Genomic DNA, 12,991 nt, shown 5'->3' on the forward strand with positions numbered 1-12,991 from the left:
CCTCTAACTCAGGTAGCTTCAATCTTTACCACTCTTTATTATCACTTTTGGCACTTTGTAGAGAGACAGGAACATAAGTCTTTTCCCTAAATGGTTCTTGTCTTTGCTCTTCTGCCTCTATCAGCTCAAGATAATAATTATTGGGAAATTAAAAGTGGCATTGGTTGAAGGTTACATCCTTTGAGAAAGTGGAGTCAGAAATTCTTTCTTGCTTAGTGTATCAAAATGTTTGGGCAGTATTACCAAAGAATAAGAAGGAACCACCCACGAAGAGCAGAGGATAATATTTAGAGAAAAAAAAATAGAATGTTATCCACGTAAATTTATATTGTTTCCCTTTACGACACATTCTTTCTTCCAACCTTCAATTTCATGCACTTACAATAAAAATTATTTGCAGTTTATCTCTACAGAAAGAAATTAATTGAAAGCTCAAAATAATCTGTAAAGATTGTCATTTATCAATGTTCTGAAGGGCTTTTAAAGCATCTAACAACAAAAGTGGTTTCTTTGGTAAATAAAGAGGTCTCTAATGGTATTTGACAGTAATGACTTACATTTTACTTACTTAGCTGCACATTTGATTACCCATATCCAAACATGAAATTGGTATTATTTCTTTCACCATATCTCAAAGCCTTGAAATAGGATATAAAGTGAGAAATGTCAAGGGGCAAAATATAAATAAATGAGCAATAAACTGCTTTCCTGTAAAAGGACCTTAGGTATGCTCCATGGAAGAAATAAAGAAATGGAATCAATTTGAATTATGCACAGGTGAGAAAATAATGGTTGCTTTCTTTTGCATTTTGGAAGCGTAGCATCATGAAGTAGTCAAGCACTTCTTGTTTTATTTTTAAATGATGAACTATTTTCACATAGAAAATAGCATATTTAAAGTTTAAATTTGTTAAGTGTGTAGCTTAAAGAATGACAAAACAATGACCTGGCACCTGGAAACCAGCTTAAGGAATAGATCCTTACAGATACCTTCTGAAGGCTTCTTCATGCTTCTACCTGACCATAATGCCTCCCTACTCCTGAAGGGTAACCGCTATACTAAATTCCTTTAATCATCATTTGCTTTTCCTTAGTCTTGTCTACAAATCGATGTGTCCCTAAGTCAACAACCTGTCCAGGCATGTTTTTAAGGTTTAGATAAATGGGCAAATCATCAGGTCATTTTTTCTTCAGTACTATGTTTTTGAGATCTATCTATGTTTCACCATTAAATAGGAAAACACTGCATGCATAAACTAAAATTAATTTTTTTCCATTTTCCAATTGATTGACATTAGGGTTGTTTCTTTTTTGAGTTGTTTCCTCTATTGAGAGAAATGCTGCTATATATATGCATATATTTTCACTTAGACATGTGGAAGACTTTCTCCAGGATACATGTTTGGGTCTAGAATTTTGGATTCTTAAGGGACATGCATCTATCTTTTTGACTAGATAATATCACCTTGCTTTCTCAAGTGGTTATATACTTTCACCATGCGAGTATGAGTTCCTGTTGTTCCACATCCTTGCCAACAACTTTACCACTGTGGTAACTGTAAAATGATGTCATATTTAGGTTATAATTTACATCCTTCTGCTTTCTATTGATATTAGGCTTTAAAAATATACTTACTGGACATTTATATTTCCTTTTCTGTGAAACGCTTGTTATAATTTGATTATTTATTTGTCCTTTTATTGATTTCTACGACTCTTTTATATGGTCTGGATACTATTCCTATGTCAGTAATAAGTATTATAAAAATCTCTTGGGTTTTGGTTTATATTTTCATAATTTATGGTATCTTTTGAAAAATGTAAATTCTTGTAATCCCAGCATTTTGGGAGGCCAAGGCAGGTGGATCACGAGGTCAGGAGTCGAGACCAGCCTGGCCAACATGGTGAAACCCCGTCTCTACTAAAGATACAAAAAATTAGGCAGGCGTGGTGGTGAACGCCTGTAATACCAGCTACTCAGGAGGCTGAGGCAGGAAAATCGCTTGAAGTCAAGAGGCGGCGGTTGCACTGAGCCGAGATCACGCCATTGCACTCCAGCCTGGGTGACAAGGAAAGACTCTGTCTCAAAAAAAATGTAAATTCTTACTTTTAATATAAAGTGATTTTCTCCTTTACGATTTCAGATTTTGTGCCTTGTTTGAGAATATAATAGAGATAATTTTCTCTTAAAACATAAAAGTATATTTTTCATATTTAATATCACTGAGAGCTGATATTTATGTGTGTATAAGTGTGGAGATGAAGGAGGATTCAATTTTACATCTTTCCATGTTAACAAGCATGTGTCTTAGAACTCTTTATTGCTAAGCTCATCTTTTCTCCAGTTATCTCTATAGCACCTTTGTATATGTTGTTTTCATTATATGTATATGTATAACATATTTGGCTATATGATAAATTTCTAGGATTTCTAGAGGTTATAATTAAATTTTTAGGATTCCTAACATTCTATGCATTGGATTTTTTGTGTGTGCCTGCTGTTGCCTCTACCTGGAAGCTCTTTGCTTGACTCACTTCTCCCCCATGTTGAGTCTTTGCTCAAACTGGACTTTCGTGACAATTTTAACCTAAAGTATTTCCCAGTGTCTCACTGCTTTTTTTTTAATCCCTATCACATTTTATTTTTTATATCCTTCACCACTTCTTCATGTTTATATTCACTTCTTTGTTTACTGACTCTATCCTCCACTAGAATGTAGAATCATGAGATCTGAAACCTTGTCTTTTTCATTTCTGCATCTTCAGTGTCTTTGGAATAATACTTGGAAGACAGTAGGCATTTAGTGAAAGTTTAACCAAGGAATAAATGAAGAAATGGATATAAAATTTGCTCTGTCATTTATGAGATTAAGAATCTTATGTAAGTTACTTAATCTTTCTGAATTGTACTTTTTAAATGTTTAGGTAAAGCTTAGAGATAATGAATCTACTATGACTACTGTAGTATCTGGCACACAGAAGGTTCTTTGTAAATGATAGAGATTATTATATACAGTCTCCGCATGAGAAGAAGCAAGATGCAATTTGTCATCAAGAGCACCCCAAAACACAAACACGTGAAAAATAAAATGAGAGTTTTAGACTTTTACTTGATTTTAAAAAATAAAAGAAAGAATAAAAGAAAACCAAAAAGGAAATAAAATAAGAAAGAAAGAAGGAAGGAAGGAAGGAAGGGATGGAGGGAGGGAAGAAGGGAAGGGAGGGAGGGAGAAAGGGAAGGAGAGAAAGAGAGAGAAAGAAGAAAGAAAGAAAGAAAAAGAAAGAAAGGAAAGAAAGAAAAAGCAAAGAAAGAAAGAAGAAAGAAAAAGAAAGAAAAAGAGAAAGAAAGAAAGAAAGAAAGAGAAAGAAAGAAAGAGAAAGAGAAAGAAAGGGAAAGAGAAAGAAAGGGAAAGAGAAAGAAAGGGAAAGAGCCTTCTGAAACTATTTCAAACTAAAGAGAAAATCCATTAGGATATTATAGTGGTATGTTATAGAACCCAGGACTGAAAATAGGGAACTCAGAAATCCTTCCTCTCCCTTTCTCATTTCTGCTTTTCTCTGCAGTGAATTTAGTGGATTTACTTCTTCTCCCTCATTCCGAAAAGGATTCAGTTTGTGTGGCAGCCAACAGCTACAAAGGCTATAGGTTACATATTCAGCCAATCAGAAATATGCTGATCTTTTCTTTTTTATTCCCTAATCCAAATTCTCACGAAAATAATTTATTTGACTGAATTGATTTACCCATATATTTTTCAACAAATCAATTGTGGCCAGAAAGCTAGGATTATATTGAACAAACATGAAAGTTATCTCTAATGCATATATCTATGGGGAGAGCAATTACCTACATAAAAAAGGAAGTAGTCTCCAATAAGTTAAGGGGGGCTGCAAAGATCATAAATAGTCTATTCCAATTATATTTTAAGAAGGAAACCTTAACTAGTGTCTGATCTTGGAGCATTAGCTCAAAAAATAACCCCAGTAGGAAGTTATAGTATAATGAAAAGGTCATTGCTCTGAAAGCTAAAAGATCTTGTTTCCAGTGTCTAGTTAACCAGCAGGAAAAATTCAAAGAGAGTCACTAAGGACAATAGAACCATTACATTAAATACTATTATTTTTGGCTGCCTTAAAGTGCTATTATTCAATCTTTTCAATGATGGGTTAAACTTCAGAATATTTTAACAAACATAAATAATTTTTGTCTTGACTTCTTACAATAATCCATGTGGGGTTTTCTAGACCTCTTATCTAATGCTGTAATTTTGTGCTTCTACAGTGGATGACTAGGTTCAAACATAAATCACTTGTTTAAAGAGACACTAAGAAAGAAAATCTATTTTTTCTCCAAAGTTAAAGATAGATATTGATACTGACTTTCACATCACAAAACTCTTATTTTACCTGATAAACTGCAAGGCTCCAAAAAGACAATAATCTGAGAAGGACATACTTTTCTTCCTTCATTTCACCTAACATTCCTTGGGAGGGGTCACTCCCACGGTGACAGCTACTGGCAAACTTTAACTTTATCATCGCCAATTAAAGTGTCTCTTCCTCCTGACAGTCAGTATCCATTTCATTCTAGATGTGCAATTTGGCCTCTTTCTGTCATGAATCTCCTCTCCTAGATGGCATTTTGAGAAAACAGGCACTTGCTTGATTTCTCTCATATCATGGGAAGTTTCAACACACTGGGATGTCACCCATATAGTACTAATTACTTTTACCTTTGCAGTCCTCAAATTAGACAGGCACTATCCACAAGCCAATGATGCACAAGATTAAAAAGATGATATTTTGCAAATGATGCAGACAGCAAATCTATTAATGTAAAAATGATGTGTTCATGTTCGCAATTTATTATAGTAATATAGGCCAGATTCATCACACACAAACACACACACACACACACGCACACAAATATAAACATATAGAGAGAGAGACAGAGAGAGCGAGAGAGCGAGAGGAAGGGAGCTAAGGCTGGTCTTTCTAAACATTTACTAGATTTCAAGTGTTCAGCTGGGTTGTTTAAGTAGTTTCTCTTATTTAACCCTGCAACAAAATCTCCATTTTTAAAATAAGGAAAAGGAGCTTTGGAGAATTGAAAAAGTTTTCTCAAAATTTCACACACAAAAAAGTATAATTTAATGGAGTATTTGCAAACTTTGCTGCTCACCACAGCCAAGCAGGTAAAATAAATGAATAAATTAGGTGTGGCACTTGTAGATTAAACTAAAAGAAATGTTCTTTGCTTCTTCAAGTAAGAGTTCACTCTCTCTTGTTACTTGAAAAGTTTCACCCTCTAGATTAATCCTTCATTTTCCCAAGTACAAATAATTATATCTCTATTATAAGAAAAGCAACGATGTGAAATAAGTGACCATTATTTACTAACACAGCTTTGGAGTCAGGGCAACACTATAGAAGGATGGAAATTGCAGAAAATTGTAGAAGGCACGTCATGATTAAATGGCGCAGCCATTGTACCTCTCCAGCTGATAGTTCCCATGGGAATGCAGACCTAGGGTGGCCAGACCTCGTTTTTTAAGTGAAGATGCAAGTTCGGATTTTTACATGAAATTATCCAATGTTTATATGCTGGCTCGAACATTTTAAAAACACAATGCATGGGCCAAATAAAATACACATGGATCAGCACTTTTCGAAGATGTAAGGGAGTAAAAGTGAAAACATGGTATGATGTACACATAGGTTTGAAAACTACCGGTGCCCCATACTAACTTGTACACTTTGGATTTGTTTCTCTATTCTTAGTCTCCTCATTGGTAAAATAATAGACTCATTAAGAGGATTACATGAGATATTCATGGGACTAATCACAATTTAAGATGGTCAAAGCAAATATATGGCAGGACAAACTAGATATTTGCAAATATTTATGTCAAGTGAATGAGTCATGATTTAAACTGATGTCTGCCTCACCTCAAAGTCCATGCTTTTTCTACTACATTACCATTCCCTTTAACAGGCTGAGGATTCTACACAATATTTGACAGATCTCTTCTAGTTTGTCCTGTCATATATTTGTTTTGACCATCCTAAAATTGTGATTAGTCCCATAAATTTCCCTCAGCTAGCACACTCAGGACGTGAAGATCAGTTTTGGTTACCAATAATAGAAAACCTAACTCAAATTGCCTTAAAATATAAGGAGATTTTATTAACTCACATAAAGCTCAGGCTTTAATTGTGTCACAAAATTTGTGTAGTTGTGTGTATCTGTGTGTGTGCGTGCTTCTCACATCTCACTCTGCCTTCCAAGATATTTACATCTTCCTAAAACTGATTTATTTTAACATCTCAAATGACTGCTAATACCTAGGGCTCCCTGTTTCCTCATTCATATTTAGCAGGGAAAGAGGTCATTTTTGCTCCAGAATTCCCAGCAAACTGAATTTCACTCTGAATGAGTGTAGGTACCATGGGAATGGGATAGCAAGTCCTGAACCACAGTGTGTGACCAATGAAATGAAATGCTGTGATTGGCTTGGCCTAGGTTCCAGCCCCACTCCAGCACTAGATGCCCAAGTGGAAACTGGTGACCATTTGGAAAAGGAACTGAGGAGAGAGTTGGCAAAGAAGATATCAACAAATGTCCATCTACACTGATGTTTTAATAAGGGTTCTGCAGAGACACAGAACTGATAGGATAGGTAGAGAGAAATGCTAAAAGGGATTTATCAGGAGAATTGGCTGGTTTGATTATGGAGGCTGGGAATTCCCATCATAGGCCACCTGCAAACTGGAGAACCAAGAAAGCTGGTAACGCAGCTCAGTCCATGTCCAAAAGCCTCAGAACCAAGGAAGTTGATGGTATAACTCTCAGTCCAAGGCTGAGACTCAAGAGCCCAGTGAGATTGCTGGGGGGAGTCTTAGAGTCTGAAGGCCAGGGATCCTAATTTTCTGATGTCCAAGGTCAGGAGAAGGACACCTCAGCTCCAAAAAGAAAGGGAAATAATTAACCCTTCCTTTGCCTTTTTGTTCCATCGGGGACCCCAGCTGATTAGATGGTGCCACACACATTGAGGGTGGATCTTCCACACTCAATCCACTGATTCACAGGCCAATCTCCTCTGGAAACACCCTCACAGACACAGCTGGAGCAGCCCTGTCATTGAAATCCAAAACAAACCACCTGGGCTTCCCTTTCAGCAGAAAAGTTATGAGCCCAGGCCAAGCAAAGCACTGAGAATAAATAATGCTTTATCTGCTATCTGGATATCCCTTAATCCAGTCAGGTTGATACCCCAAATCAGCCACCACAAGTCCATTCCTTGTCAACTTGACACCCATACTCATGTCTTTAAATCATACTTAGTCTCTGCATAAATGAAATAAAAAGGTTGTAGTTCCACTTAACATGATATAACTATTCTGTGTACAACCAAAAATGTATTAATCCCTTCCCTAGAAGAGGAGGTTAAGTCCTTGAGTGATGTTTACTCTTTTCCTCATATTCCATAACTTAAATATTATGAGGTAAAAATGAATAATTGCTAATTAATGATATAAATTCAATTTTGAAATTTTGTTTGTTTGGAGGGCTGAAGGGTAATACAATCAGTATTGTATTACCAGGTGCTATGGAAATAGCCATGGACCTTACATTAAATAATGATGCTCTTTTATTTATTTATTTATTTATTTATTTATTTATTTATTTATTTATGAGACGGAGTTTCACTCTTGTTGCCCAGGCTGGAGTGCAATGGCACAACCTCGGCTCACAGCAACCTCTGCCTCTCGAATTCAAGCAATTCTCCTGTCTCAGCCTCCCGAGTAGCTGGGATTACAGGCATGTGCCACCACACATGGCTAATTTTGTATTTCTAGTAGGGACAGCGTTTCTCCATGTTGGTAAGGGTGGTCTCGAGCTCCCGACCTCAGGTGATCCACCTGCCTTGGCCTCCCAAAGTGCTGGGATTATAGGCGTGAGCCACCGTGCCTGGCCAATGACACTCTTTAATCCAAGAGTTACTTAGTGTAATAAACTCTTACATCTTAAGAACTACAAGACAGTTTAGAAATCTGTAAATACAGGGCTGGGTGCAGTGGCTCACACCTGTAATCCCAGCACTTTGGGAGGCCGAGGCAGGGGGATCATGAGGTCAAGAGATCCAAACCATCCTGGCCAACATGGTGAAGCCCCGTCTCTACTAAAAATACAGAAAAAAAAAAATTAGCTGGGCGTGGTGGCAGGCGCCTGCAGTTCCAGCTACTTAGGAGGCTGAGGCAGGAGAATCACTTGAACCCAGGAGGTGGAGGTTGCAGTGAGCCGAGACTGTGCCACTGCACTCCAGACTGGCAACAGAGCAAGACTCTGTCAAAAAAAAAAAAAAAGAAAGAAATCAGTAGATACAACCTACTTATTTTGATAGATTAATAAAATGGTTCCAGAAGAGCATAAATGGCACGCTTAATATCAAGTTTAAAAGTTATTTGTAAATGGAATCTGTATTTCTCTGCTTTTATTTCTGTTTCTTGGAGGAGCAGCCTAGGACAAATGTACAACACAAATCTCAAATCTCTTTTCAATGACAATTTAGACTGATAAAACATAAAGTCATTTTTTTCAGACTTTATTTCTTAGAGCAGTTTTAAGTTCACAGCAAAATTAAGAGAAAGGTACAGGCTGGGCGCGGTGGGTCATGCCTGTAATCCCAGCACTTTGGGAGGCCTAGGTGAGCAGATCACGAGGTCAGGAGATCGAGACCATACTGGCTAACACGGTGAAACCCCGTCTCTACTAACAATACAAAAAAATCAGCTGAGTGTGGTGGTGGGCGCCTGTAGTCCCAGCTACTCGGTAGGCTGAGGCAGGAGAATGGCGTGAATCCGGGAGGTGGAGCTTGCAGTGAGCCGAGATCGTGCCACTGCACTCCAGCCTGGGCGACAGAGCAAGACTCCGTCTCAAAAAAAAAAAAAAAGAGAAAGGTACAGAGATTTCCAGTAGCCTCTCTCATTACCAACATCGCTCAACAGTGGTACATTTGTTATAACTGGTGAACCTACATTAACACGTTATCACCCAAAATCCATAGTTTACATTAGGGTTTATTCCTGGTGTTAAGTTCACTCCTGGTGTTGAGTTCACTCATATTCTATGAGTTTGGACAGATGTATAATGATATGTATTTGTTATTATGACATCGAAGAGTATTTTCACTGCCCTAAAAATCCATGTTCCATCTATTCAGTTCTCTCCTCATCCCCCACCTCCTGTGAACCACTGTTCTTTTTACTGTCTCCATAGTTTTGCCGTGTCTTGAATGTAATATAGTTGAAATTATTACATATATAGCCTTCTCAGATACACCCTTTCACTCACCTATATTCATTTAAGTTTCCTCCGTGTCTCTTCATGCTTGATAGCTCTTTTTTCAGTGCTGAACAATATGGATGTACCACAGTTTACTTATTCATTCACCTACTTAAGGACATCTTGGTTGCTTTCAAGTTTTAACAATTATGAATAAAGCTGCTATAAACACCTGCATGCAGGACTTTGTGTGAAAATATGTTTCCAATTCCTTTGGGTAAATAACAAGAAGAATAACTGCTGAGTCAAATGGTATGTTTAGTTTGATGAGAAATCACCAAGCTGTCTTTCAAAGTGGCTGTACTATTTTTCATTCCTACCAGCTCTGATTATATGTTCCTGTTGCTTTACATTTTTGTCAGCATTTGGTGTGTTAGTATTCCAGATTTTGACCATCCTAATAGGTATATACTGGTGTCCTGTTGTTTTAACTTGCAGTTCCCAATGGCATATGATTATGTGCATATTTTCATATGCTTATTTGCCATCTGTATACCTTCTTTGATGAGGTGTCTGTTAAGGTCTTTGGCCAATTTTTAAATCAGGTTGTTTTCTTATTTTAAAAGTTCTTATTTTTAAAGTTATTTTAAGGTTTTAAAAGTTCATTGTATATTTTGGATAACAGTCCTTTATCATAAATGTCTTTTGCAGATATTTTCTCCCAGTCAGTGACTTGTCTTATCATTCTCTTGACATTGCCTTTCACAGAGCAGAAGTTTTTATTCTTAATGAAGTCCATCTTATCAATTATTTCTTTCAGATACTCTGCTTTTGGTGTTGTATCTAAAAAGGCATCACCATACCCAGTGTCATCTAGATTTTCTTCTATGTTATCCTCTAGGAGTTTCACAGTTTCGCATTTTACATCTAGGTATACAATTTATTTTGAGTTAATTTTGGGGAAGGATGTGAAGTCTGTTTCCAGGTTTATTTTTGCATGTTGATGTCCAGTTGCTCCAACACCACTTGTTGAAAGGACTATCTTTGCTTCATTGTATTGTCTTTGCTCCTTTATCAAAAATCAGTTGACTATATTCACATGAGTCCACTAGAGTCATTTTTAAATCAGCCCTACACCCTCTAAGTACTTCTAGTAGAAGCAAATTGATGGATTCTTGTCTGGGCAAAGAAATACATCTGTCTGAATATATGCCATGAACCTAAATAGCTATTTCATTTTGGATGGTTTTTAAGTTCTCCAACCTATAATAGATGAGATGGAGAGAAAAAGAAGAAACTACAAAAAAGAGGAAAGAAAAGGAAAGGAAAGGTAAAGGAAAAAAGAAAGATAACTAATTACTTGGACATTGTGTTGTGTCAAAGACAATTCTTTTTCAAGGTTTTTACATTTAAAAGAAACATTTTAATATTATTGTCTAATTTTTTGTCTGCCAACTTCAATAGCAGAGTATTGCCAACAGAATTGGTAAGTAATGCAATACCAAAAGATATGCTTGTATTAGTCTGTTCTCACACTGCTAATAAAGACACATTTAAGATTGGATTATTTATAAAGGAAAGAGGTTTAATTGACTCACAGTTCCACATGGCTGGGGAGGCCTCACAATCACGGCGGAAGGTGAAGGAGGAGAAAGGCACATCTTATATGGCAGTAGGCAAGAGAGAAAGCATTTACAGGGACACTTCCCTTTATAAAACCATCAGATCTTGTGAGACTTCTTCACTAGCATGAGAATAGCACAGGAGAAACCCACATCCATGATTCAATTACCTCCCACTGGGTCCCTCCCATGACATGTGGGGATTATTACAATTCAAGGTGAGATATGGGTGGGGACACAGAGCCAAACAATATCAATGCTTCACTTGATTGGAAAAACCAAATTCATTAGTATCTACATATCCAAAACTCTTTTGTGTGTTTGTTTAGAGGCAACAACAGTTAAATGATAAACCTGCCCTATACTCCTAACTTTAAATTTAAAACATTGTGTTTTCAGAACTTTCAAAGAGTTTCAAATATTTCTGCCCTCTACAAGTTAAAATCTGTGTAAATCCAAATCAAGAGAAAAAGAAAAAAAATAGCAAATATTTTCTAATGACTTTTCCCAAAACAGAGATTTCTCATTCTCACTATTCTCCCTGCTATTTCCTCACATAAAAAGTTATTATTTATAGCCTAGCCTTTTTAGGGCATAGTTATTCTAATGTCAACATCATCTATGGTGTGGATGGAACTGCTGTGTCAGACAACAGAAAGAAAGGTTGGAAAAAAAGCCAAATTTTCTGTTTAAATTAAAAATTGAAGATTTTAAAAAATTCATTTATCTAAAAATAATAGCCTTTTTGGACTCTTGTGATACTATAAAACATACATTTGTTCTGCATCCATCCCGGTTTCCTGGCATACAACTTCTAAAATCTGTAGAATCGCCAAAGTCATGCCTTTTTGTGTGCTAATGCGTTGGCTGATGGCTGGCAGCCCCTAGATAACTTCAGAATGGAGCTGGGCACCAGAAAGACCAAAGCAGTATGAGAAGGTTGGGACTTTCAGCCCCACCCACAACCTCTGGGGAGGGATTAGGGGTGGGTGGGGGGTTAAGTTAACCAAAGTAGCCAGTGCTTTAATCAATTATGCCTAAGTAATAAAGCTTCCAGAGAAACTGTAAGGACTGGATCTCAATGAGCTTTCAGATAGCCAAATGCATGGAAGTGCCCGGAGAGTGTCACATCCAAGAGGGCATGGGAGCTCCACATCCCTTCCCACATGCCTTGATCTGTGCATCTCTTTGTCTACATTCTTTGTAATATTCTTTATAAGAAACTGGTAAATGTGTTTTCCTGAGCTCTGTTGAGTTCCTCTAGCAAATTAATCAAACTCAAAAAGGTGGTCACCATGGGAACCTCAATTTACAGCTAGTCAGTCAGAAGCACAGGAAAAACAAACTGAGGCTTGCTACTGGCATCTGAAGTTAGGGCAGTCTTGTAGGGACTGAGCTCTCAATCTGTGCAATCTATGCAACCTCCAGGTAGATAGTGTCAGAATTGAATTGAATTAAAGGACACTGAGCAAATTAAAGGACACTGAGCTGGTATCCACTGCAGAATTAATTGCTTGCTGCTGGGGAGAAATCCACACACATCTGGTGTCAGAAGTATTTTGAGAGAGTGTAGTTGAAGAAACTGAGTTTGTTTTTCCTTTTCAACTATATAACTGCCCTCGGATATTCCTAATTCACTGGTAATTAAACATTTGCAGAATGTGTATATGGTTGCACAGCAAATAATCCTTGCACTATGTTTAAGTTTAGTTCAACCAGTTTTCCAAATGCTATTCATCAATGTGTCATGGCACCTATCACTTCAGGGAAAAAATACTTGGCATAGTGTAAAAATTATTTCTTTAACAGATAGTATCAGATTTATTTTTATAGAGGAAAACAAATTTTGAGGAAAACACCTTGATAAGAAAGTGAGTTAGGAGAAAATGCATGTGGTTATAAGTTGGCAAAAGTCAAGACAGTAGAAGAAATAGCTAAAATGTTCTGCACTAAAAATAAATAGAACTCTGATGGTGAGGAAAGTGAGAGAACAAAGAAGAGAGGATGAAGGGCAAGGGGGCCAAGAAACACAACCAGGGAGTCTGGAGCTCAATTTACAGAAATAGCTACAGGACTTCCATAA

This window comes from Homo sapiens, chromosome 5 (genome assembly GCF_000001405.40).
Source record: "Homo sapiens chromosome 5, GRCh38.p14 Primary Assembly".
Taxonomy (NCBI): Eukaryota; Metazoa; Chordata; class Mammalia; order Primates; family Hominidae; genus Homo; species Homo sapiens.